This window comes from Homo sapiens, chromosome 11, assembly GCF_000001405.40.
Source record: "Homo sapiens chromosome 11, GRCh38.p14 Primary Assembly".
NCBI lineage: Eukaryota > Metazoa > Chordata > Mammalia > Primates > Hominidae > Homo > Homo sapiens.
The window spans coordinates 128,306,732-128,334,621 of NC_000011.10; the positions used below are offsets into that span (position 1 = coordinate 128,306,732).

General features: G+C 41.2%; 1 long non-coding RNA gene across 1 annotated transcript in view, besides 1 other annotated feature; it reads right to left on the minus strand.

Moving 5' to 3' along the window:
• LOC124902787 (uncharacterized) overlaps positions 1 to 27,550 on the minus strand; it is a 31,955-nt gene extending 4,405 nt beyond the window's left edge. The window contains exon 1 of the long non-coding RNA XR_007062946.1: positions 27,343 to 27,550. This is a non-coding gene — a long non-coding RNA (uncharacterized LOC124902787). The remainder of the gene's footprint in view (positions 1 to 27,342) is intronic.
• Positions 17,493 to 18,627: an enhancer, noted in NCBI's record as "amplified fragment containing the chr11:128194119-128195252 (GRCh37) CAGE-defined region". NCBI's record gives its function as "transcribed enhancer in T cells {active_cell/tissue: T cell}" and the evidence as "EXISTENCE:reporter gene assay evidence [ECO:0000049][PMID:24670763]".
• Positions 27,551 to 27,890: the final 340 nt, after the last annotated feature.

The following is a 27,890-nucleotide window of genomic DNA, read 5'->3' on the forward strand; positions in this document are numbered from 1 at the left end:
CCTCCAATGAGCAGGAACACACTATTTGGCAAAGCAGCGTTTTCCCTCCCAGTCTAAGAGCCTGTGATGTAACTGACCTTTCTTTAAGGAAAGATGATCTTATGGTCCCTGCCCTCAAGATGTTTACATTCTAATGATTGTGTGGCTTATCCATTAATCTGAAAAGAATCACAGATAAAGTAGATAATAACATAGACTAGGAATTAGCATTACCAGGTATTTCAGATTTGGGGATTTATTTCATCTTATTTCTGTGACTTAGGATATGATAGAGGACCAGATACAGTCCCTGCCATCAAAACCCTTACGATACAAAGGCCAAACATATAAGTAAGCATGTAGGCTGGGTGCGGTGGCTCATGCCTGTAATCCCAGCACTTTGGGAGGCCGAGGCGGCTGGACTGCCTGAACTCAGGAGTTCGTGACCAGCCTGGGCAACACGGTGAAACCTGGTTTCTACTAAAATACAAAAAAAATTAGCTGGGCATGGTGGTGTGCACCTGCAGTCCTAGCTACTTGGGACGCTGAGGCAGGAGAATTGCTCGAACTCAGGAGGCGGAGGTTGCAGTGAGCCAAGTTCAAACCACTACACTCCAGCTTGGGCGACAGAGTGAGACTCCATCTCAAAAAAAAAAAGAAAAAAGTAAACTTGTAAGGACACTTTATATAATTGATGTGTGTGAACAATATGAATGCATGTGGACACTGACCAACTAAAGTAAAGGTAGTTCAGAAATCCTGGGCAGTTCCCATTAGGGCTGCCTGAACGGAGGCTGGGAGCACAGAAAGGAGATGGAGCTACAAAACACATAAATGTAAGCTACACAGAAAAAGGGTCAATTAAACAAATCTTGTTGACTCTGGAGTCTGGCTCTGCATCCCTTTTAAGTGAAGGCCAGGGGCTTCCCACTGGGTTTAGGTTGGAGCTGGCCTGCAGGATAGATTGTGTACTGGATATCATGCAATCAAATCCTATCTGGAGACCTATTAACGGGCCTCATGTGGTGTTTTTCATAAGGAAAATCACCCTCTGTTATTTAATGGAGGTCTGTAGACTTTGAGTCTGTTTTATAGTGGGGATGTTCTTTGTAGATGACAACTACAGGGATTGGAGACATTACTTTAACCCAAACACTGTGGCAGCTGGGAAAGGAAGATTTTTGGAGGAAATGAGACTTGGAGAACACATCACATCTCATCATATAAAAAGCTGTTCATAGATTCTGTTCTGCACCTTCCTTTATTCTCACGTTGCGTATAAGTTACTTGCGGATATTCTCCTCCAGATCCATAAATTGTAAGTCAACTTCCATTTTAGGTTTCTCAGACCAAGTTTGTGTGGTCAAAATTAGCATGGAGTTACAAGCTCTTAACTCTGTACTTCTGCCTCAAGGGAACATGTTTTTCTGTAGATATTTAGAAAACTCAGCACTCAGTTTGTGCTTCACATTATGGGGTTCCCTTTTCTTCTCAGATAATCCAGGTCTTCCACCTTGGTGTTTCAGGACTATCATTATTTATACATTTTAGATTACACTGCCAGACCCTAAGGTTGTTCCAAGAGCTCTTGGCTGCACTGGACATTGTATTCTTTTCCTAACAGTGCTGTAAGAAATGGCCAAAAATTAGTGTTTAAAGCAATGTAAATTTACTATCTTCTAATTCGGAGTCAGACTTTCTAAAATCAGTGTGTTGGTATGGCTGCATTCCCTCTCAGTGCTCTAGGGGAGGACCCATTTTCCTTCCCTTTTTAGGTTCTTGATCCTATGTGCATTCTTTTGCAACCCTTGACCTGTGGCTTCTTCTTTCATCTTCAATGCCCACAGTGTATCTTCTTCAAATTTCAAGTCTCTTTCTCTTCCTTATTGTCTCTCATTTTTATAAGGCAAACAGTAAAAGCATATGGTCTCACGCCTTCCAGCCAAAACATAATCATTCTGAAGGGCAAAATATGGCATACAAATATTTTACATGTGGCCTCATTCTTTGGCTCGGTGGCGTCTTTTCTTCAACTTCAGCTTCTTCAGGCCAATCTGTGGGTATTTCTAGACATCTGCAGGAAAGCTCTGGAATTCTTGTATGTTGCACAGTGTTCCTAAAGATTGGTCATGCTACAGATTGTGCAGATTGTTTCTGTACCAGCCAGTCAATCAGCCAACAGATAATCAAGAAATATGTATTAAGTTTCTATTATTATACCAGGTACTCTGCTGCATGTAGGGGATACAGTGGAGAATAAGACAGATGTTCAAGCGTTATCAACAGACAGCATCAAAAAAGCAAGCAGAGTAGCAGAAACTGAATTACGGCTATTTACTAGGCATATCTTCAAGAGCAGAATAAGCAGAATGCAAACTAACACAATGCAAAGGAGGAAAGATTGGAGTCTGCGTCTATAATAAAACTGCACTGCACTAGTTGTTCAAGAATAATAGATAAAAATTAAAAGACTTAGATCCTGCATTCAGAAAGTTTTCAGTGTAAGTGGGCAGACAGAATATTATACATAAAATGATAAAATAAGTTAGCCAATTATAAATATAAATCAAGAGCAGGAGCAAGGGTACGGAAGGAAGAATTGTCTAGCAAGGTGAGGGAGCAATGAGCTCAGACCTGAGGGACTGTTGTGAACAGTCATGGAAGGAGGCTGGAGGCTGCCACATGTAGTGGGAGTAAAGAAAGATTTGGACTTTCAACAAAGCATTTTCAACGCTAAGGAATAATCGCTGTTGGTAGGGCAAAATCATTCTGTAAAGTACATCTGCACGGGTGTTGACAAATCTAGATGAAAGTTGCTACATAGATATCAGGTGTGGTTACAAAATCTAAGCTCCTTGATGGACGGGACTTTGCTTTATTCACCATTCTACCCATAGAACTCAAACTACTGCCTGGCACAGAGTAGGCAGTCAGTAAACATTTGTTGGTGGATAAGTGAGTGAACAAATGCAGAGACAGAGGAATGAGCAGAGAATTGCACTTTGGACCAAGGACAGTAATAAATAGACCCCTCTAGCTTACCTCTCTGGAATGCAATACTAATCACCCAAAAGCAGGTTATCATCAATTTCCTTTGCCTACCTGGAGAGCCAAAGAAATCAAGGCCAGACATGGAGGGTCTTAAGTCACAGACACAGCTTGTCCCTGCACACCGGAGCAGGAGTGGAAGCTGGGAGGTCTTTTTATTACATACATCCTATAACAGTTCTCATGGGCTTGGCTTACAAATCCTACAAAAATAAGAATGAGTAAAAGAACTGGGGAGTATTTCTAGGAACTCCCTTGTTCTTCCAACACCCTACTCTTGTCTCTTTCAAGTGATCTGCTCCAATGACTGCCCCATGTGGCATAAGTCCCCCACCCCAGCACTGAGAGCCACAGTGTCGCTATTGGAGGAGAAACCTGAAGACAGGGGAACTGACAGAGACAAGTGCGTTAGACTAAATCCAGCGTCTAATGAAGTTCCACAGCAATTACTTGCCATGCTGTTTATGGAAACAGTTTCCTGTCTCCTTCATGTGGCCTCAGCAGGCCTTTCAGTATCTCATGCTTTGCAGAGTCCCTGTGAAATTTTCCCTCAGCCTTTCTCAGGGTGCTCCCATACACCTTGGAGTTTCTTTTAGCCAACATCTCAATCAACTGGGGCTTTGAAGATGGATTTTTGTTAATAAAGTGAATTATGTGACACTATTCTTCCACAGGACAATTTTTCATCTATCAGGCCAGGCCCTTGATGCAGGAGAAGGTGGCAGTGAAGGATCTGGAAGGGGCGTCTTTCTGTGTCTCAGCTGTTTCCTGGAAGTTTGCTCCTGGGCACCTCCACCTTTTCTTCACCTCTACCTTCCTTCATTAGGAGAAACCAGAATGGTCCCCGACTTCCCAGAGCAGGTCCCCAGCAAGGAGCAAAGAAACAAAATACAAAGTAAATAAACACTGGGACAAGAGGGCATGCAGAGTAATGATAATGTTGTGAACATGAAAAGCACTGTGGCCTCACTCCACATCTGATATGTTCGGATATTTTATCCCCTCCATTCGCATGCTGAGATGTGATCCTCATGTTGGAGGTGGGCCTGGTGGGAGGTGTTGGGGTCGTGGAGGTGGATCCCTCATGAATGACTCGGTGCCCCCTCATGGTAATGAGTAAATTCTTGCTCTGTGAGTTCACCCAATATCTGGTTGTTTAAGAAAGCCTGGAACTTCCAGCTCCCTCTCTCTTGCTCACTCTCTCCCTCATGTGACATCCAGGCTCCCCTTAGACTTTTCACCTTGACTATAACATTCCTGAGGCCCTCACCAGAAGCAGATGCTGGCACGATGCTTTGTGTGCATCCTGCAGAACTGTGAGCCAAATAAGCTTATTTTTGTTATAAATTACCCAGCCGCACATATTCCTTTATAGCAATGCAAATGGACTAATGCACCATCCCCAGTGGCCTCCTTCCAATCCACAACCTGCTAGCCAAGCAAGGGTGGTGGAGGCAGATTTGAGGGTGAGCCCTGGGATATGAGGCAACTCTCATGTGTGACTGGCTGTGGCCTTGAAGCAGCTGCAATGATTTTCATCTCCTGGGCAGACTGAGGTTAGGAGTTTAATCTATGCTACGGGGTGAGGTCAGAACACCTTCCCTTGTTTTGATCTCATTGGGCTCCAGCCTCCCTTATAAAGGTCCTATTAAAAGGGGCTATAACTGCCTCTGTCTTGGCCTGCCTACTCTATGGGAATTTTCCTATAATTTTGAAGTATTTCAAATCAAAATTTAATTATTTGGAATGGTTTATTTAAAACCCTTCTGAAGGAAAGAGGAAGGGCTAAATGAGGTCTTTGGCATTCTCCTGTACTGCTACTTTCAGTGGGGCTCTTTCTGCCCAAGGCTCTTTTTCAGTAAATTGCCCTGGTTGGCTAAACCCAGTGGGTTTCTTCCTATCACCATATCCCATATACTCTTACAGGAATTTCAGAAGAATTACTCCTTTTTGTTTCCTGAAATGAGCATTCTATGAGCCTATGTTTTTAAATAAAATAGCCTGGAACCATTTTCATTAAAAGATAGTACAGCAGTACAGTGCAAACATTTAACTTATGAAAACTAACAAGCAGATGAAACAAAAAGAGTTGAGGGCACTCAGTGAGGAATGCTCACTATTGAGGTGTTAGTCGTGAAGCACTGAAGAGAGTTTGAGAGAGTTCAGGGAGGTGTTCTAAGCACATCTGCCCTCAGCATGTACTGTTTGTATAGGATGTGAGGTTCTGGACCAAGTCTCAGCAAGGAGAGAAAAGGAGTGGGGAATGCAATGAGGTCTCTCTCCTCATAGTGCTCAGTCCAGGGGAAACCTAGAAAGGAGTAAGTCAGGGTCACCCTACAACTATTTTTGAGGCCACAGTTGCACAGGGCACCCACTGAACACCATTTCAGTTCAAAAGACACACTTGCTTATGAGCCTCATTGAGGGTAACTCATCTTGTATTCACCAGAGAAAGGGGGAAACCCACTAATCTAGAAGTAAAGGGACCTGTAACACAAGAGCTTCTGTATGACACTGCCAAGGCTCTGTACTGACTTTCAAAAACAAAACAAAAGTAAGAAGTTTATAATGGTAAGAAGAATTGAAACCTGCAAAGCAAGTTTATCAAAATATAAGGTTAAAGTGGGGATTCCAAATTGTCCAATATAATATGACGCTAAGTCAAAATTTCGTTACCACCTTGAAACTTTTCTTCATGAGAATTTTGTTCCATCTGTGTCTCATTAACATGTTCACTTATGTTTACTGTCCTATGAAGTCATTACATAGCCTCTTTTCTGAGGGCTCAGACCTCTAGACAGTCCTTCCTCAAGTTCACCTGAGAGTCACACCTGGCCTGAAACCTTTAAATCTAAGAGAAAAACTCACCTATACATTTCAACAATGTTTACTTAAAAATCCAAGTTATCCAAGGTCATAATTTTCATGGAATATTGCCAGAGGGTCTTTAACTAAATGTCACCTTTTAATTAAGAAGGCAACTGGCAACTATTTCTAAAACTTAGATTGCCGTCTCAACATTCTCTATTTCTCTTTACCTCTCCTTATTTTTTCCTTAGCACTTACCACCATTTAACCTAGATTATATTAAATGTGTCTGGTTTGTTGTCTGTGTCACATAGTAGAATGTTAGTTCCATAAGGGAGTAAATTTTGACTCTTATTTACAACTATAGTCCCAGTATCTAAAACAAAGCTTAGAACACATTAAGAACTTGATAAATATTCATTATCAAATTCTACAGCTCAACTTAGCACCACTAGACCCATTGACTCTGATGCTGATATCTTCTCAACAAAATCATACATGACATAAGAAAAATAAATAGCTTCTTCTCATATGATGGGTTTTCTAGACCAATATTAACCAGTGTCTACATGTGACTGTTGAGCATGGAAATGTGACTAGTCCAAATTGAAATGTGAGTATGAAATACACACTGGATTTCAAAGAATTTGGATAAAAAAAGGATGGAGAATATCTCAGGAATCATTTTATATTGATTGCATATTGAAATGATAGTATTTTAGATATATTGGGTTAAATAAAATATATTATTAAAATACTTTTTACCTGTTTCTTGTTTCTTTTTTAATGATGCTACTAGAAAATTTAAAATTATATACATGGCTTATATTATATTTCTATTGGAGAGCACCTCTTCCAGAATACAATTTTCCAATGCCTGAAACACTTTTTTGAGGAAATGCTAGGATGCAGACCAAAATGTAAAGAACCTGACCTCTTAATCCTCTTTAGAGGAATTCATATTATTTGTGTACAGTTGTCCCACCTCATCAGGGGAGGTTGAGCATTCTGCAGTTTCAGTTACTCAGGGTCAACTGAGGTCAAAAAACAAGTGAGTACAGTACAATAAGATACTTTGAGAGAGAGAGAGAGAAACAACATTCATATAAATTTTATTACAGTATATTGCTATAACTGTTCTATATTATTTTCAGTTATTGTTCATCTGTTTCTGTACTAACTTATAAACTTTAGCATGAGTATGTATATATAGGAAAAAACATAGTATATAAAGAATTCAATCATATCTGTAGCTTTAGACATCCAATGGAAGCTTTGGAACACATCCCTTTAGGATAAGGTGGAATTACTGTATAAGGATAAGGATTTTAGAAAATAAATTCCCTTCTACATGATGGTTTTAATCTGTTTCTTTCTCAAACATGAAACAAAGGAATTTTGGTAGAACACAGAGTGAACTAGGGCTCTTAAACTCAAGTAATAATAGAAGTATTACTTGTCTGTTATCTGGCATATAATCATGTATTAGTCTGTTCCCACACTGCTACAATGAACTACTTGAGATTGGGTTATTTATGAGTAAAAGAGGTTTAATTGACTCACAGTTCCTCAGGATGTACAGGAAGCATGACTGGGAGACCTCAGGAAACTTATAATCATAGCAGAAGGTGAAGAGGAAGTCAGCACCTTCTTCACATGGCTGCAGGATAGAGAGAAAGCAAAGGAAGAAGTGCCACACACTTTTAAACCATCAGATCTCATGAGAATTTACTCACTATCATGAGAGAAACAAGCGGGAAATTCACCCCCATGATACACCACCTTCCACTAGGCCCCTCCTCCAATTCAACATGAGATTTGGTTGGGGACACAAATCTAAACCATATCATTCTGCCTCTGGCCCCTCCCAAATCTCATGTCCTTCTCACATTGCAAAATACAATTATTCTTTCTCAACAGTTCCCCAGTCTTAACTCATTTTAACATTCACTCAAAAATCCACAGTCCAAAGTCTCATCTGAGACAAATTAAGTCCCTTCTGCCTATGAGCCTGCAAAATAAAAAGCAAGTTCATTGCTTCCAAGATACAATGCGGGTACAGGCATTGGGTAAATGCTCCCATTTAGGAGAAATTGGCCAAAACAAAGGGGCTACAGGCACCATGCAAGTCCAAAACCCAGTAGGGCAGTCATTAAATCTTAAAGCTCCAAAATAGTCTCCTTTTATCCCATGTCTCATATCCAGGGTATGCTGATGCAAGAGGTGGACTCCCAAGGCCTTGGGCAGCTCCACCCCTGTGACTTTTCAGGTTACAGCCCCAGTGGCTTCTTTCATTGGCTGGCATTAAGTGTTTGTGGCTTTTCAAGGTGCATGGAGCAAGCTGCCAATGGATCTACCATTCTGAGGTCTGAAAGATGGTGGCTGTCTTTTCACAGTTCTACTAGGAAGTGCCCCAGTGAGGACTCTGTGTGGGAGCTCCAACCCCACCTTTTCCTTCTACACTGCCCTAGTAGAAGTTCTCCATGAGGACTCCGTTCCTGCAGCAGACTTCTGCCTGGACATCCAGGCATTTCCATACATCCTCTGAAATCTAGGGAGAGGTTCCCAAACCTCAACTCTTGCCTTCTGCATAGCTGCAGGCCCAACATCAAGTGGAAGCCACCAGGCTTGGGACTTACACCCTAGGAAGTCACAGCCTGAGCTGTATCTTGGGTGGCTGGGATGCAAGGTGCCATGTCCCAAGGTGAAACCATATTTCCCTCCTAGGCCTCCAGGCCTGTAATGGGAGGAGCTGCCATGAAAGTCTCTGAAATGTCCTGGAGACATTTTCCCCCATTGTCTTGGCTATTAACAAATTTCTGCAGCTGGCTTGAATTTCTCCCCAGCAAATGGGTTTTTCTTTTCTACTGCATGGTCAGGCTGCAAATTTTCCAAACTTTTATGCTCTGCTTCCCTTTTTAATATAAGTTCCAGTTTCAGATCATCTCTTTGTTCATGTATATGAGTATACACTTTTAAAAACAGCCAGATTGCATCTTGAATGCTTTACTGCTTAGAAATTTCTTCCACCAGATACCCTAAGTATTCTCTCTCAAGTTCAAAATTCCACAGATCTCTAGGGCAGAGGCAAAATGCCCCAGTCTCTTCGCTAAAGCATAGCAAGAGTGACCTTTACTCCAGTTCCCAATACGTTCCTCATCTCCATCTGAGACCACCTCAGGCTGAACTTCATTGTCCATATCACTATCAACATTTTGGTCAAAACCATTCAACAAGTCTCTAGGATGTTCCAAACTTTCCCACATCTTTCTGTCTTCTTCTGAGCCCTCCAAACTGTTCCAACCTCTGCCCATTACCCAGTTCCAAAATTGCTTCCACATTATTGGGTATCTTTATAGCAGTGCCCCACTCCCAGTACCAATTTTCTGTATTAGTACGTTCTCACACTGCTATAAATAACTAGCTGAGACTGGGTAATTTATGAAGAAAAGAGGTTTAGTTGACTCACAGTTCTGCAAGCTGTACAGGAAGCAGGAAGTTCCTGGGAGGCCTCAGGAAACTTACAATCATGGTGGAAGGCTGAAGGGAATCAAGCACCTTCTTCACATGATGTCAGAAGAGAGAGAGCAAATGGGGAAGTGCCACACACTTTTAAACCATTATGTCTCATGAGAACTCACTCACTATTATGAAAATAACAAGGGGGAAATTCGCCCCCATGATCCAATTGCTTTCCACTAGACTTCTTCCAATTCAACATGAGATTTGGGTGAGGACACGAATCCAAACAGTATCAAATCATTATTCTGATTTTCTCAAGTTTAACTGAATTCTCAAATGATACTGACAGATTTATCTTAAAGTTTATATTCTTTTCATGTCTCAAAGTTATATTTCTCTTGAAACAAATGAATATAGGTTCTTTAGAGATGGTATCTGCATTTTATAGTCTGTACTAAAAAGCTTATTTTCTGATGGGCCACTCATCTAAAATGAGTGTGTTAAATCATAAAAGGAAACAGCTGGTCAAATTCACCAGTAAGCATAGCATAAATGAGTGTCCATGTAACTAGTGAATGGTGATATACTCAACACATTTGATAAATATTTTCTACATTGGTCAGTGGAATATTAAGATGATAATATGTTGAACCTATCTTCAAAGAGTCTGTAGTTTTATGAGGAAGATGACACATAAGCAGTTTATTTCAACATCATGTGGTAATTTTCTGATAAACAGCAAAACTGGGTGCAATAGGTGAACAAAAAAAGGAACGAGGCCCAACTGGTTAGTGTGTGTGTGTGTTTGCAGATGCATCATGTAGTGAGGTGATGGAAGAGATAGGGAGGAACAAATGTTATATCTCCAATTAAGAATCAATATTATTGATTATTGAATAGTTAGACTTTTCTTGTTTATCATCATCTTGATATGCTACATTAGTTTGAAAGTGACCACTTCCTTCTTATCGGGACTTTCACTATAACTGTCCAGAGTCTTCTTGTGTTAATAAGGAGTAATGAGATCAAGTAGATAAGACAGCTGTGATGACATTTTCTGCATTTCTTTACTTTCTAAGAAATGCTCTGCCATCAGAGAAGGAAAGACAACTTCTTCCTTGCTACTAATGGCACGTTTCTACTCAGTTATCCTGGCCAGGTCTGTACGATCTTGCTCAAGCCCCTTCCTGAGCATTCCATCAAACCCAAGGAAGCTTCCTGAGAAAGTCTCAATCCTGCCTGTAGGATTGCCCTGGGACTTGTCTTTGGAAGAGATGGAAGAGCTTATGTTTAGGTGAAAGAAGAGACCAGCCTTCTCAAATGTCAAAATATCCAAAGTGGCTAATATGCAGGTCTGGTATCAAAAGCTTATGGAAATTCCTTCAATTGAGAAGCAGTTTATGGATCCTGCTGGAGACTCGAAAGTCAAATTAGGGTATTTCAACTGCAGTCATAATCATAATGCTTATTCATAGATAAATGAATTTGCGTTCAAGGAAAAGAAGTTCAAGGTATTCTAAATTTAGTGATTTCTATCTAACTAGACTATCAGAAAGCAACAGGCCTACTCCCCTTCTCCCGATGCAAAATGTCTCATACCCAATATTTGATACAGTAAAAATAAAAACATACAAAATTATTCTACATGTATAATTAAACCATTTTTAAAGAGATAGTTTATTGTGTGTCATTATGTGGTTCAATGACTCTTTGCAGTACATAACTAATCCAAAAATTTATTTACAACTTAGAATCTAAAAAAAAATGATAGGCTTATATCTGGTTAAAAAACAATAGCCCATCATGTTTCTCTAATTTTCTTGCCTGCCAAGAAGCTCAGGAAGTGGTACTGCTCAAGCAAGTAGCTCAGTGTTTCCCAAAGGGTGCTCCACAGAGTTCTACTGCACGATGATTTTAAAAACATTTGTTTAATGACATAAATGTGAGAAAATAAATGTACAATTCCATCAGTATATTAACAATTCTAAGAGATCTAATAATAAATGTTTATATTTATGTATTTGTTTATTTTTATTTCAATAGCTTTTGGGGAACAGATGGTTTTTACATGGATAGATTCTTTATTGTTGATTTCTGAGATTTTGGCGCCCCTGTCACCTGAGCAGTGTACACTGTACCCAATGTTAGACTTTTATTCCTCACCCCCTTCCCACCCTTCTCCCTGAGTCCCCAAAGTCCATTATATTATTCTTATGCCTTTGTGTCCTCATAACTTAGCTCCCACTTATAAGTAAGAGTATACAATGTTTGTTTTTTCATTCTTGTATTACTTCACTTAGAATAATGATCTCCAACTCCATCTAGATTGCTGTGGATGCCATTATGTTGTTCCTTTTTATGGCTGAGTAGTATTCCATGGTATACACACACACACACACACACATATGTATTACATTTTCTGTATCCACTCATTTGTTGGTGGGCTGGTTCCATATTTTTGCAATTGCAAATTGTGCTGCTATAAACACAAATGTGCAAGTGTCTTTTTCACATAATGACTTCTTTTCTTCTGGGTAGATACCCAGCAGTGGGATTGCTGGATCAAATGGTAATTCTTCCTTTAGTTCTTTAAGAAATCTTCATACTGTTCGAATTTGTTTTATCCAATCTTTCCTAAACTTATCCGACTGTAGAATTCTGCCTTTGCATAATATCTGCTATTTCAAAGCTCACAAAGTTGGGAAAGGCTGACCTAGGCCGTTGACTGATTTATTTCCCTCTTCCTTCTAAAGGTCCATTTTGTTTTTCTCTACTTCCATGCCTATCTTCCATATATGGATTATAAGGCACAGATAATAAACTGTGAGTGGGGGCAAGTCTGTATGTATATGTAGTAAACACACCACAAAAGGTGTACGTTCTGCTCTGCTTCTTCCCCCGCTCCCCCCTTTAGCTATTGAGCTCAAGCTTGTTCCTGGCAGGACCTGCACATAGCAATATAGCCTTCTAGGGAAAACCCAAAGCCCTTCAGGAAGTGGTATGCGATGATGTACTATAGTAGCTGGTATGTTTCCTTCTGAGTCAGGGCTACCACAAGGGGGTCCCCAGGATTTGACACCTCTCTGAAAAGATGCCAAGATGCTGGTGCCGAGGTCATGACTGCCTCTCCCTTTGTTAAGGGCCCTCTAGGGCTTTTCCCAAGTCACTGAGATTAATAGAATCCAAACCAGATTTCAGCCCAGGCCCTCCCCTCTCTTTGAATTACCGTTGCTTCCTTATTTTTTTCTCTTCTTTTTTTTTTTTTTTTCATTGAGACAGAGTCTCGCTCTGTCACCCAGGCTAGAGTGCAGTGGTGTCATCTCGGCTCACTGCAATCTCCACCTCTCGGGTTCAAGCAATTCTCCTGCCTCAGCCTCTTGAGTAGCTGGGATTACAGGTGTGTGCCACCATGCCTGGCTAATTTTTGTATTTTTAGTAGAGATGGGGTTTCACCATGTTGGTCAGGCTAGTCTCGAACTCCTGACCTCGTGATCCGCCTGCCTTGGCCTCCCAAAGTGCTGGGATCACAGACGTGAGCCACCGTGCCCTGCCTGCTTCCTTGTTTTAATGCTTCCTTGGAGTATCTTCAGTCTCCCGTTTATGGTTTCACATCCTTCTACCATGAAAGGCACACTTCAGTGCTGCATCCAAAGCAGCGTCATAAAGATGTTCCCATGGGTTCATTTCGCATTTGCTCCCAAATCTTCCACATGAGAAGACTAACTTAAAAGGGTTCCTGAAACATACCATATGCCTGGAGCAGTATTAATAATGCCGTTTCACATGTTTAGAGATCTTTAACTCTTCTTCCCTGTGCTGGTCAGTGCACGTCTTCAGAGGCTCAGTTCTATAGGGCTCTGTCAGGCTGATTCTTACAGAAAAATACTCCCATGCTCCTTATATAAGGAATTAACACTACTGTGAAAGAATCCTAGAACCATTGCCATTTAGTTGAAATCTTGCTTCTTTTATGCAAATTAATAATAATATAATTATTAAGAGAGTTCAGAAGTGCTAGCCAGTTTCTCTTTTGTCAGCAGCTGTCTGGAAAGCTTTTACCTAGAGAACAACTTTACATTCTAGAGCTTCTTTTCTCTAGAAGACTCCAGATAATTCTCAAACCATTCTCTTTGAAAGATGGAGAAAACTAGGCCCAGTGGAAGGCAGTGAATCTCCACTGGCTGCTTTCGAACCTGTTCCAGATTCAGTGTACAGAACCTCAGTCCTAGGTCAACTTTCCAACATATGGCACTGCTTCCTGGACACAATCTGTCATTTAAAAAATAATGTTTATAAAACATTGATCTGTGAACCAGAATCTCCTGGAGTGCTTATTTTAAGATTAAATTTTAGTGGAAAAATTGGTGAAATCTGAATAAAGTCTGTAAATAGTAAGTGAATAGTATGCGAAAATTAAGTGAATAGTAATGTTCCACAATTGTGTATGAAATTAACGTTGCGCTTTTGGGTATTTAACCAAGTGAATTGAAAGCAGGGACTTGAACAGATATTTGCAAACCCAGGTTCATAGCTGCATTGTTCACAATAGTCAATAGGTAGAAACAATACACATATCCATCAACACACAAATGAAGAAAGAAAACGTGGTATATACATGCAATTGAATATTATTGAGACTTACAAAGGAATGAAATTCTGACACATGCTGCAATATAAATGAACCTTGAAGACACTACGTTAAGTGAGACAAGCCAGATACAAAAGGGCAAATATTGCATGATTTCATCTATATGAGGTACCTAACAGAGTCAAATCCATAGAGACAGAAAGTAGAATGATGGCTGCCAAGACAGAACGGAGTGTTATCATTCAATGGCTACATAGTTTCCATTTGGGAAGATAAAAGATGGATGATGGTGATGGTTGCCCAGCAATGTGAATGAATATTCTTAATGCCATTGAACTGTACACTTAAAATAATTAAAATAGTAAATGTTATATTATGTATATTTTACCACAATTTTTTAAATTAAAATTAGGGGAAATGGAATGGAGGTGAAGGGTATACTAAATTCACAATACTGTCTGTGTGACTTTCTTTGTAGCTCTAAAATGATTTCCCAAAATAGTTGATTTTTTTTAAGCCACTAATGGAGGACTAGACGTTCACCATAAACAACAACAAGAAAAATATATTTCTGGCCTCCACACTAAACTGTATCAGAATCTCTGGAGTTGGGAGGTGGGCAAGGCACTTTATTTTTAATAAGTTTTAAAATTTAAGAACCACCTTTTCTTCAAGTTATTTCTAATAATTATGTTCTTTCTTCCTACCTCTTTCATCAATAATGGAATGAAATCTGTGTGTGAATTTCCAGGCCACCAATTTTGTAGGTGGATGTTGCTTCATGACTGTGCTCTGGTTAGGCTTCGGGGCTCAGCGAGGACCACTGGGAGTGTATGTAACCCCAGAACTAATGGTGTCGTCAGGCCCCCACCCCTTCCCCAGATCCTCTCTCTGTGGCTCCCACTTTCTTTTCACTTCCACTTCTCTACCTTAGAAAAAAGGCTCCATTCCTGAGAAACTTAGTAACCATGAGTTGATTAGGTCATGCCCAAGCTCATTTCCCTCTCCTTCCTCACCCTCTTTGAATGACCCCTTTCAAAAAGGGTCAGGGTCAGATTTGTAATGGAATACAAGAACAACAAGCAAGAAAATGTGACAAGAGCATTGAGCTTTAAAACCTTATTGTGTCGATGCTACACTCAATAAAAAGGAAAAAACAGTGGTCATGGGCATGTCAGGCTGGGGACTTGGAGGCTAGAAGTGAGTCCTGTTTCCTCCATGAAAGCCACAGCACTTTACTTCTCAGTGACTCAGTTTCCCACTTGTAAAATGGGAGAGGTGGAAGAGAAAGACTCTAAGGGTTTCCCCATCTTTGAAAGAGTGTGATTGAAAAAAATAAGACCATCCTGACCTGAAGTGGCCACTATCCTTAGGAGCAAACTTGCACAATTAGCAGCTCAACGCTCAACATTTCTTTTCTTATCTCTTTTTTTTTTTTCTTTTTTTCTTTGAGACAGGGTTTCACTCTCATCACCCAGACTGGAGTGCAGTGGCATGACCTCGGCTCACTGCAACCTCTGCCTCCTAGGCTCAAGTCATTCTCCTGCCTCAGCCTCCCAAGTAGCTGGGACTACAGGCGTGCACTGTCTTGTCCGGCTAATTTTTGTATTTTTAGCAGAGACAGGGTTTCACAATGTTGGCCAGGCTGGTCTCAAACTCCTATTTCAAGTGATCTACCCGCCTTGGCTTCCCAAAGTGCTGGGATTACAGGCATGAGCCACCGCGCCCAGCCAGCAGCTCAACATTTCTTAATAAAGATGGAACACTAAGATGATTCAAACTAAACTTCTAAATGTAAGAAGATTATATGACTGAGTCAACTTTTCCAACACCTCTAAAAGAGAGGAGTGTTGGGAGGAGAGAGGCACTGGTGGCCTCTGAGAGACCGTGAGGTGACTCTGTTTTCTGATGTGTATGTAAGTGGCTCCTGTCTTATTCTTTATTGAAGAAAAGGAAACTGTGACAGCAACAAGTTTGGTGTTTAGAAGAAGACAAGAATGTGGGGGCTTGCTGATGCCCCCACGCTCTCTTCTCATTTTTCTCCTCACTCGTGATTTCTGGCCAAGCAAACAGTTCCCTGGAGGATGGCATGACCTTGAGTGGGCTGGTCTAGTCTTTGGAGCTTTGGAAGCCGGGATGCTGAAGTTTGGAGATGGTATGCTTGCTGCTCAGGGTTGGAAGCTTAGGTACTTAATAAAGTCTGAAAGCTGTTGTTCCAACAGGGATAACCAGTGCCCCAAAGCCACTCTGAGCAGCACTGAGTTAGCAGCTCCAGCCAGACTAGAAGAAGGGAAGCAGGTCAACTGAGAGCTGACACAGAGAGCCCAAAGCAGGGTGGGAAAAAAGGGGGCAACACAGACAGATTGAGATGAGAGGGCTCCCTTCTGCCAGAATTGCCCTTCCCGCATGAGCCAGGGTTGTCTAGGCACAGCAGCTTCCTTAAGCATCCCTAAATTCACCTTCCTGGGCTCTGGGGTATCAAAATCTTGTAAGCAGTCCCACAGGCCTGCCAGAACTTTGTCATTCCTCCTGCTGCTTTGACTGACTTTGGGAACTGGATGATCCTTCTGCCTGGTTTGTGGACTCTTGATTTTATTCTTGCTGCCACTAAGGCTGCTATAATGGTTGTCGGATTTCCTTGGAACTTGAAGATGGGCAGAGGGTGCTTTCATAGTTACTGACAAGGTAATGTCAGGAGCACTCATTTCCCTGACTCTGGAGATGAAAGCAAACAAAAACAAAAACAATAAGCAGTTTATATTGGGCCAACCATCTGTGGTTAAGGAGAAAGGCCAAGCAATGACTACAGCTTCCCAGCCCAAACAGGCTCCAGGAAAGAGGGCTCAGTTCACAGGCTGGGAATATGGACAGCCAGAGACACTAAGGCCGGTTATGAGCTTTCATGAATCTGAGCTGGAGCCTCATCTGCCTGTTTTGCATTTCAGACAGGAGGAGGCAGTGTGGATGAGACTGTCAGAACTGGCAGCATTTCCCCTTGCAACTCCACAACTTATTTGCTGAGTGACCTTGAGCAAGCTCCTTAACCTCTGAGAGGCTTCAATTCTCTACCTGTGAAACAGAACCAGCAACATTTCATTAAAAGTTAAGGAACCTGGAGCATAATGACATTTCTCTATTAGAGCTTTCTCGGCTTGCCCCTTGGTAATTTTTGCCTTTCAGCACCTTTCTGGAAAGAAATGAAATGAGTAGTGTCTTCTTGTGAATAGGTGTCTTTTATAGAGTTATGGAAAAAATAATTCCCTTGCCCCGGCACCTTTCTTTCGTTGCTAGTTGTGCCACTGACTTGTTGCATATCCTGGATCCAGTCAGTTTTCTTTTCCTTGCCACTAGACCAACACTAGATCTTATAGCAGCCCCCATATACAAATGATTTCCACAGGATCCTCATGCTGCGTGTTCTCAGGCTCCTGATAGTGAGTGTTGAACCATCAGGCCATTCAGAGTTCACTGAATATGACTTTTGCAATAAAGATTAGATCCTAATAATCCCTGCTCACAACACGATTACTAGCTAATCCGTCCCAGTCGAGGGTTTCTTTTCTCCTTTGAGTCACAAGGAATCCTTATTACATGAAAGATGAAAACATGAAATGCCTATCAGAGATATCACCACATGCACCGCCCCCCGAACCAGGCCGTGGGGTCGGTCAACGAGTTCTCCCTGTGGTTTGGATGCTGACACCTGAGTGACTCCCCTCATGAGCTCAGAAGCAGAGAGAGGGAACTGTTTTCAGAGCAGAGAGGTGGCTTAGAGGAAACATGTACAGGACTTGGCAAAGAACCTGACTCCATGTGAATGCTCACTCCGTGTGAAATTGTTCTTATTATAGTGATTTGTGGGGAAGAAATAACCAAGGAGGGAAATAAACAACCACAGTGACAAGATAAAGGAAGAAACCTAGGCCCTAGAAAGGAAAGTTTTCTAGGCTGATTTCTACCCCTGAAATGCACCCATCGACTCTTCTGGAAACTCAACTGTGCCTCCCACCTCTGAGGTCAGCCCCTCCCGGGGCTAACTGCAGCCCAAGCAAGCCCCCGTGGCAGGAGTGTGGCAGGGGCCTTCAGCTCACCCACCTCTGCTCTCTGAACATGGCACAACGAGCCTGTCAGACCACTTGCAGCCCTGCTATTTGATCTTATCGGGCCCTGTCAGGGAGGTGAAGTGCATGCGTCAAGAAGTTCGTGCCTGTTCATCATTGTGGTTGCCCCGAAGTGGAGCAGGCAAGGTAACACTTGAAGCCATTTTTGCAGAGAATTGCACAAACAGCAGCGGGTGTCATAGACTCAGTGGTTCCACTTCGGATCGAGAAAACACCCACAGAATGGTAGAGGCTGCTAAAGAAACACCACAAAACACAGAGCAACATATACTCATGCACACACACCAGAGCAGTGTGAACCAAAGCCCCGGGCAGGAGGACGTGCTGTGTGCCAACAAAAAACAAAAGGGGAGATGCATTATTTGTTTTGGGGTAGAAAGGTTGCGGGACTGAGGCTCTGCTGCAGACAGATGGGCGCTACACTTATTTGTTGGGTGGCAGAAAAGTTGGGGGACTGAGGCTCTGCTGCAGATGGGTGGGCACTGTATGACTTTCTTTGAGGAAGGCACTTCTGAGAGTGAGAAAAAAAAACAACTGATAGTTCTTGGAGCTTGAAACTGAGAGTTTCTACTATGGAGAATTGAAAACAATTTCCTTCTGAGGGAGAAGGTAGATGGAGCAAGGGAAGTCCAAATTAGGCCCCTTTTGGAGGTAATAGATATTTTCAATCTGCTAAGCAGTGAAGCAGGCAGAAACTGACAATTGTTATAATTATTCTTGTATAAAGTAAATAAGATTTTTCTCAAAGGAGAAAGCACCTGTTGATTTGGCTAAGTTAAGCATTAGAAACACCTGAACTTACCGTTACACATTCTTCAATTTGGCAAATGCAATACAAGAGTGAATGAGACAAACCTTGACTTGTTCTCATATAATTTATTATCTAGTAGAAGAAGACATTAAGGAAACAGACACTGAAATATATAATTATGAATTATGATTTGTGTTTTGAAGAGAGTGTTCAGTGTTTATGAGACAGAATATCTGTTTTTACCTAGAAGTTTGATTGTCTATTCAATACGCATTTTAAAAGTAGTTATTCCATGTAAAATTGTAGGGATATACAGGAATTATTGATATATGATCTTTACTTTCCAAGAGCTCAAAACCTTTTAAGGGACTCAGGCACGCTGATAGATAAATAGTAGTATTTAAAAGTAGAAATAAGGCCAGGCGCGGTGGCTCATGCCTGTAATGCCAGCACTTTGGGAGGCTGAGGTGGGTGGATCACCTGAGGTTGGGAGTTTGAGACCAGCCTGACCAACATGAAGAAACCCTGTCTCTACTAAAAATACAAAATTAGCCAGGCGTGGTGGCGCATGCCTGTAATCCCAGCTACTCTCAGGAGGCTGAGGCAGGAGAAACGCTTGAACCAAAGAGGTGGAGGTTGCAGTGAGCCGAGAGTGTGCCATTGCACTCCAGCCTGGGCAACAAGAGCAAAACTCCGTCTCAAAAAAACAAAACAAAACAAAAACAACAACAAATAAAAGTAGAAATGAGAGATTTATCACGAAATTATTCTAAAACCTACATTTTTTCTAGAAAAAATATGAATAGGCTTTGTGCTATATACTTCTTCCAGTTATCCAGATCTGAGCTTTTTAAAAAAAATATAATTAAGCTTAACAAACACGAAAGATATTACTATTCACCTGGTGGAAACCATCCAACTATGGGCATTGCATTTTACAGCAGTGCTTCTGAAGCTTTAATGGATGTGTAATTATCTGTGGAATTTGTTGTTAATAAAATGCAGATTCTGATTCAATCTGTCTGGAGTGGACCCTGGGATTTCACATTTTTTTGTATCAATTTTGCAGATAATGGGATGCTAGTGATCTACAGAGCACAGTTGGAGTAGCAAGGTCTTAAGGAAGAAATCAAATTCTACAATATTATGTTCAATTAGTATTCTTTCACTCAACATAAATTTATTGCATATCAGCTATGGAGTCTGGTTATATGAAGCCTTAATCATCCCTTCCCTTACAAAAGCAATTAGAAAACAAATTTAATTTTTTTTACAAAAGAGTTCTGAACTCCATATTGGCTTGACTCATGGTAGTGTTGTGTTGGATGATATAAATTTGTATTGACATAAATGTATTTGGCAGAGGTTGTTCTGAAACTCAACGCAACTCACAGACACTCTCATGCGAGCAGAGACCATCCCTCTGGAGCAGAGAGCACAATGTGCCTTCTGCCTCCCTCCCCAACTCATCACCTTCCCTCTCAACGTCCTTCTGCCCGGCTGCCCCTCAGGCAGGCGGCCCCAGAGGCCGTGGGCATGCTGCTGTCCCTCCCCACAGTGATACTCATCACCAAAATGAAACCTGACACCAGAATTGTCATCTTACTGAGAAGATGATAAAACTCATTTAACCTTTCCACTCAATAGGCTGATAATTCCCTCTGTCCTGATGAACGTTGGTGAGGTTCACTGAAGAGACTCAAGTTACCAAGGGCATGCTAATGCAAGGGTTATTCTTTCCTTTTCACATTAGGAGTTCACTTCTACCCAATCATTTTCAAACTTCACAGAAATGGAATTTCCATACTCAGATATGAAGAAAGCACCTTGATTTCCTCCACCTTCACATCATGAAGAACATCGAAGCTGGGATGAACGATGAAAGGAGGTAATATTCTAGGCATAGACAAAGCCCTTTCTCCACTGCCTTCAGGCTGTCAGGGAAGTAATTGATGTGTCTCCCAGAGCACAATCGCTTCACACTTTCAACACCTTTTTGTCCTGCTGCGAATTAAACCTGTCACTTTGTCTAATTCTCCATTGGTAAGAAGCATTCACTGCCAGAGACTTGTCAATGGGGGTGTGATTACTTGCACTGATAGCAACTGTAATATTTAATATTCCCCAAATGAGGGACAACCCTGAGAAGACAGAAAAAAAAAAGGCACATTTTGTAGAAGGAGTAGTTGTTCTTCATTGTGTAACTTCAAGGGAATTACTGTCTACACTGTCGGAACTAACTCGATTCAAATCCAAATTTTTTAATAGGAAGAGCTAGCCAGAGATTTGAGAGACAATTTGAGTAAAATGACTCTAGGTGTGTAGTTGTTCATTCAAGATGCTTATGCACACTTTCCATGGGAAGGCACTATTACAGACCCTTTCCATTGTTTAAGGGGAAAATATTTTGAAAAGGGGGAGGATCAGCTAACAGGAGATATAGGGAATATGATATACATAAAGGAGAATATGATGAGGCTGTGGGTGAGGAGGGTTGGACTCTAAATCGAGTTCTACCCTCAGCAGGCTGTGAGAATTTGAGCTCACCCAGTTCCCAATTGCTCCATTTGTTTAATGAGGAGAACTGAATTCTTGGTAAAGCTAATGTTTCACGACTTCGTTTGATTAAAACCTTCCCATCTTCTAAGGAAATTGTATCTCTCCCAATTCTTCATTTTGCAAGTGATTTCTGGTCTGGTACTAAACCACTCAACATAAGAAGACCTGGGGTAATCAGCCGGGCGTGGTGGCACATGCCTGTCATCCCAGCTACTCGGGAGGCTGAGGCAGGAGAATTGCTTGAACCCGGGAAGTGGAGGTTGCAGTGAGCCGAGATCGTGCCACTGCACTCCAGCCTGGGCAGCAAAGAGAGACTCCATCTCAAAAACAAACAAAAAAAGAAGCCCAGGAGAACATGATACGAACTTCACAGTCAATTACTCATCCTACACTACCTAAAAGGCAAGTCTACATATCTCAGTGGGTGTCTACAAAGGGCACACTCTATCTGCTTTAAGAAAATAAAAACAAGATGACCAAGGGTGAAATAAAATTACATTCTCCTATTAATCTTACTATGAATCAGTTTGGATACTTGGGACAGAGCAGCTTGATACAGGCACCCTGATTTAACTCTGTGCCAGTTTTGGTTTCTGAGTTTAACAGGACAGTTGTGGAAAGAATATAGACATAGCAGAGTAGAGTTAAATGTAGATTTAAATGACATGATGCATATAAATGTTTAACTCACAGCCTGGAGCATAGGAGATACTCAAACTTTATTCCCTTTCCATATATAAAGAGATTAGGCCCATAACATGAAACTGAGAGATAAACATTCTCCCTACAGAATGGAAAGGAAGAAAAGAGCATTGATGAAGCAGCTCGATGAACTCTTGTAAGACCTTTCTCCAAGTGAGTTATCATTCCAAGGTTCCTGTTGTTACTTTCTGAAGGGCTTTGTGCTTATGAAGCAGATAGGGACAGAAGGGCGGGCCGGACCCCATGGTCATCTGGCAGCCTTGCTTGTGTTGGGTCAGCGTGCCAGCATTCATGCCCCTGGGGGTGTGAGCACCCTTTCTGGAATCTTGAAAGGAAATGCAACCTCCCCAAACCCCACTACTCTCTCAAGGAGTCATGGGTGATGAAGATGTTTCCTGCCATTCTCTGCAGGACAGAGAGTTGCTTAACCCTCGTTTCATTATCAGTGGAGGAGCCAGCCATTGGACCCCCACCCCTCAGAGTGAGCCAGCAGCCAGAACTAGCCCTTTGGCATCCCCCGTCTTGATTGCAAGCAAGCAAACCTGTCACCTTCCTGTTTTATCTACTCATGGTGTTTGTTTCCTTTGACGTGGATTCTTACACTTAGGGTGGGAGGGATTTCTCGAAAAACATTTGTTGTATGCCACTGATCCTGGCCCCACAACGCCCCTTTCTCTTTCCTTTTCAAGGCTCCAGGAATTGCTAAATGGCATATCCTGAACACCCAGCACTCTGGGGCTAAAAATACCAGAGGGTGTGTTTATCTAGATTGGGGCTTCCTCTCCAGGGGCTTTACAGACGTTATCTCATTTATCCTTGAAAACACTCTGCGAGGCAGCATGTAGTCAAATAACTTTACCCCAGAAAGGTACGGAAGGCTTGAAGAGGAAAGGTCATCGGTGGAGGTTCTATTCTGAGGCCCAGTAGACAGGCTCAGGTCTTTAATTTCTCAGCTTAAAATTCCATTCACTCTGCATTTCCCCCTTAGAACTGTGGGAATCCTTAAAAAGCAAATACAAACCCACGACTCCTGGCACATAGAAAAAGGCCAGGTTGAAATACCCCCCAGGTTACCTCCTCTCGGTGTCTTCATTACATCTTTACAAATCCGAGATCCCATGGCCTTTGGTCATCTCTTCTAATTGCTCCACATACACAGGCTCCCTCGAGACCTCATTTGCCACCATGGTTTAAACTCTCACCTATCTAAACTGATGGTAGACACTTTCCATATCTCTCACACCCTCTCCATAGTTGATATAAAATAATTACCTACTAGAAGTTGTACATGAATTTGTTACATACACAGCATTTCCCCCTCATTTTGCACATCCTCGATATTCCCTGGCCCATACCCAAAGACCTGAGACTCCTGGCACATTCCATCCCCTCTCTGACTGCCACATGCAAACAGTTACTGAGTTAGCTATCTTCCAGGTGCACCCCCAGATGCACTTTCCCTCCCTCCAAAATGCATGCCTAAGGAGCCTGACTTACAGGCTCCTTCTTTGCCCTCTGGCTACTCCCTGGGGTTGGTCTTTGGTGAGCACTGGCAGGAGAATGGGAGGAGGCAGGAGAGGGATGATGCTGTATGTATTGTCCCATTCTTCTCCCTGTGGGGTTGCCATGGACTGGCTGCATCCTGGATACAAGGTCAGGTCTCATCAGGCATCCTTTTCCACACAGCTGCTTTCCTGGTGGCCATCGGGCCTGGAGGTGGCAAAAGCTGCTGCCTCCTGATGGCATCAATTCCAGGGCACCGCTCAACCCCTGGTGCATGTTTTAAACTCCACCCACACATGCTGTAAATAGCCCTTATATGAAAGTTATTACAACATCCAGCTAGAGTGGGGTCTCCTCTCTTTCTGGATGCTACCCAAACTAAAGTCACCAATTTCTATATTTTACCATTCAATTCAGATGACATTTTACATGTATGTATACATATTTACTTGTTGAATTAGAAAAGCCAAGATGGCATTATATTTTAAGCCAATACATCAGACTTCGATATATGTGTTACTTCCAAACCTCTCTCCCTGTAGTCTCCTCACCATTGTTCAGATTGTCAAAGTGTCATTTCCAAATACCTGTGAAATTACATTAATCTTGCATAAGTTCATCAGAGGTCCCAGTATCTTTCAGCATATGATTCACTTTTACTTATGTCTGTCTTTCTAGAGTAAGTCTTTTATCTCTACTTCCAGGACATCCTCAAATGTTTTTCAAACATTTATCAAATAGACAAACACTGAATGGAACTTTAGGTCTTAAATAAGTGTAGCTATTTCCTTTTACAATATTATTTTCTTTTAAACTGCAATTTCTTGTCCTACTGAATAAGTCCTCCTTACGTGGCTACAGGAATGCAAACACCTGGGTATAATGTGATGACTTTCTAACTTTGCAGAACTGTTATCAATGAGGGCTTAGACTGTGATGTAAAAGTAAGGGCTCTAAACTAGATTCCCTGGATTCCTGATTTCTCTGCTAGTCCCGCAACCTCGGGCAACTTACTCAACATTCTATGCCTCCATTTCCTAACCTATAAAATGAGGGTAGTAATATCATCTAACTCATGGGTTTGCTGCAAGAATTAAAAGAGTTAACACACACACACGGAACACTTAGAATAGTGCCTGGTGAAAACACAGTAGAGTTAACTGTTATTTCTTAACTCATTCTTAGTTTACCACCATCATCCTCAGGCTGTTTGCCTGTGGTTTGTTTAGCTCACCCTTTCTTGAAAACAGACCTTTACCTGAAAACATTCTGATATCAAAACCCACAATACCTGGCATTTGTGACCATGAGCGCTTCACTGGAAGTTGGTGCATGGACTTCCTTCCCTTAACATCTGCTGAAGGCATTCTGCATGAACGCTCTCAGCAGTTTCCCCCTTCAATGGTTTGTCAGAAGCCAGGGAAAAAAAAATATGAGTACTTAAAATGTCTTTGTATATTATGTTTATGACTCCCCATGATTTTTTCCAAAACAAAAAGAAAATTTCCTTCTACATGCCTGCACCTTTGTCTTCTTCTCTCTTCCCTTTTTTTTACTTTTTGAAGAGACTCACTCCCAAGTCTTCATTCCTTGCAAAAATCGATAGAGTAACCTAAATTTGGAATTTCAAAACTAAACTTACTGAGCCAAAGTTTTACATAGTTTTTATTAACTGATTATAAAATACATGTTTATTATTAGAATTTTAGAGAAAGTATCAAGAAAAAAGAAGAGAACTGCCATTCCAACACCCTGAAAAAATCATCACTAATGTTTTACAGAATCGTTTCCAGTCTTTTTAAATTTACATGTATTTTATCATTGAGAATATAGCCTATATGCAATTTTTATGCTGCATTTTTTCATTTTGTCAAATAATATCACTGATCCAAATTATATATAAGTGATTTTAATGACACCATTAATTTAACAGTGCCATCATTATATTCTGTCATTTGTTTTTAATTAAATATCCTGTTATTAGAAAAATTTTCTACTTTTAAAATTATTTCTATAGAACTGGAATATGATAAACCTCTTTAGTTATAAATTGTTGTCCAGATTTTTATGAAAGTTTCCAAAAATAAAATTGCTGGGCTGAAAATACAAATATTTTAAGACTTTTGATAAACTGTAATAGAAAAAATTGCTTGCTTAGAAAGTATAAGCATGAATTTCATTACTGGGTATATACCCAGAGGAATACAAATTATTCTACCATAAAGACACATGTATGTGAATGTCCATTGCAGCCCTATTCACAATAGAAAAGACAAGGAATCAATGTGAATGCCCATCAGTGACAGACTGGATAAAGAAAAGGTGATGCACATACACCATGGAATACTATGCAGCCATAAGAATAAGATCATGTCTTTTGGAGGGACATGGATGGAGCTGGAGGCCATTGGCATTAGCAAGCTAACGCAGGAACAGATAAACAAATACAGTGTGTTCCCATTTATAAGTGGGAGCTAAATGATGAGAACTAATGGATACAAAGTAGGGAACAACAGACATTGGCGGCTACTTGAGAGTGGAGGGTGGGAGAAGGAAGAGGAGAAGAAAAATAACTATTGGGTACTAGGCTTAGTATCTAGGTAACAAATTAGTCTGTACAACCAATCCCCGTGAGATGAGTTTACCTATATAACAAACCTGCACATGTTCCCCAAACCTAAAATAAAAGTTACCAAAAAAAAAAGTATATGCCTGTTTATAGTTTCACCAGCAGCATATCAAGGTTAAAGATAGAGTTAGGGTGCCCTTAGTAAGATCTAAATTTACATATTGGTTAATCTTTTCTCACTGAAAGTCAAAGCCTATGTCTTTTAAATATATGTTTTAAATAATAAATATTAAAATAAATATAACGTGGCTTGCTTAACCTCCATTTGAGTTTCCTATGTTTTATTTCACTAAATGGGACTTCGAATGAGACCGCACTTTATCATATGTGCCATGGGATACAGAAGGAACAGCGCCTCCCATCAGAGACATCCATGGCATGGTGAGCCCTACAGTCTTAGAGGGCACCCTGAACATGCATCCGTGGTTAAACAGCCCTGGAGGACCATGCTCAGACCCCTGCAATACACATGCACCCCAGATCCCAGCTTCCAGCTGGCTCCTTACAGAGACTGCATATAAAACAGAGGCACTTAGAGAGCATTCGTTCTCCTGCTCACTCACTCAATACCTACTAAGGGCCAATTCCATGGGAGAAACTATGCTCAGCACCAAGGAAACCATATCAGTAGGAGAGGCTCAGGGCCTGCCTTTGTAAAGCTTACATTTTAGAGAAAGAAATGACTGTTATGTAATTGATTACCTAATTAGATTTTTAATCATGTTTATGATGAAGCACTCTAAAACAGAATAATAATTGATACAAGGAACATTCAATCTGGGGAGTTCATAATTTCTGCAAAAGGTATATTTTATGTCACAAATATCTTTGTACATGGAAATCACCCTGTAACTTAGAAACACCTGGTATGCTTTAACATGAAGAAATGGAGCACATGCCAGCTCCTCTAACTCAGTCTGTGTGTCAGGGTAAAATATATATTTCCAGTGCTGGGCAAAGATGGAAAAGAAAAATAAGTTGACCTAAAATCTTTCTGTTTCTGTAAGTTTAGCGTCTCATAGATCCTCAGTGACCAACCCCATGTGGTGAGGAAAAATGAAGCCTAAAGAATTTCAGTCGTCTATCTTTTGCATAGCTAATCGTAGAAAGAACTAGGAACTGTCCCACAAAAAAAAAAACAAAATAATAATCTAGGTCCTTCAGGCAGCTTTGCAAATAGCCACTTACTCACCTGCTTAACCAGCAAGTAATAATTCATGCTGGACAAGTGACGAAGAATCCCACTTTGGTTTATTGCCTTTCCCATAGCTCTTCAAATGTTTGATCTCATTTGCAAGGTTATATTCTGAATACAAAAATGCATCTCTCCCCACGGCCAGTGAAGGGCGGCATACTAATCTTCCATTCCCATCCACACACCAAGTGAATCTGGGGAGACTAAACCAAAGTTCAGCTCTGGGGCATTGTTTGTTTCCCTGCAGATCCTCTTTCCCTTCCTTTGGTGCCTATTTGCTTACCAGGGTGAACACAAGGCAGAAAATGCAGCCCTGAGCCCACTGTCACCACCGGTGAGGAATGGTGTCCTCTGAACACTCAACTAGCTTCCACCAGCTTCCGGTAAGTGAAGCAAAACAGAGACCTTTGACATGTAGAGACCAGGGAGAGGTTCTTGAAGGAACAATGGGACATACTGTGGACTGTTTACAGACCCTGCTACCCTCTGTTGTGGCTACTGAGTCACCGGCAATTTGTATAGTTTGATTCACAACCCCCAGGCCC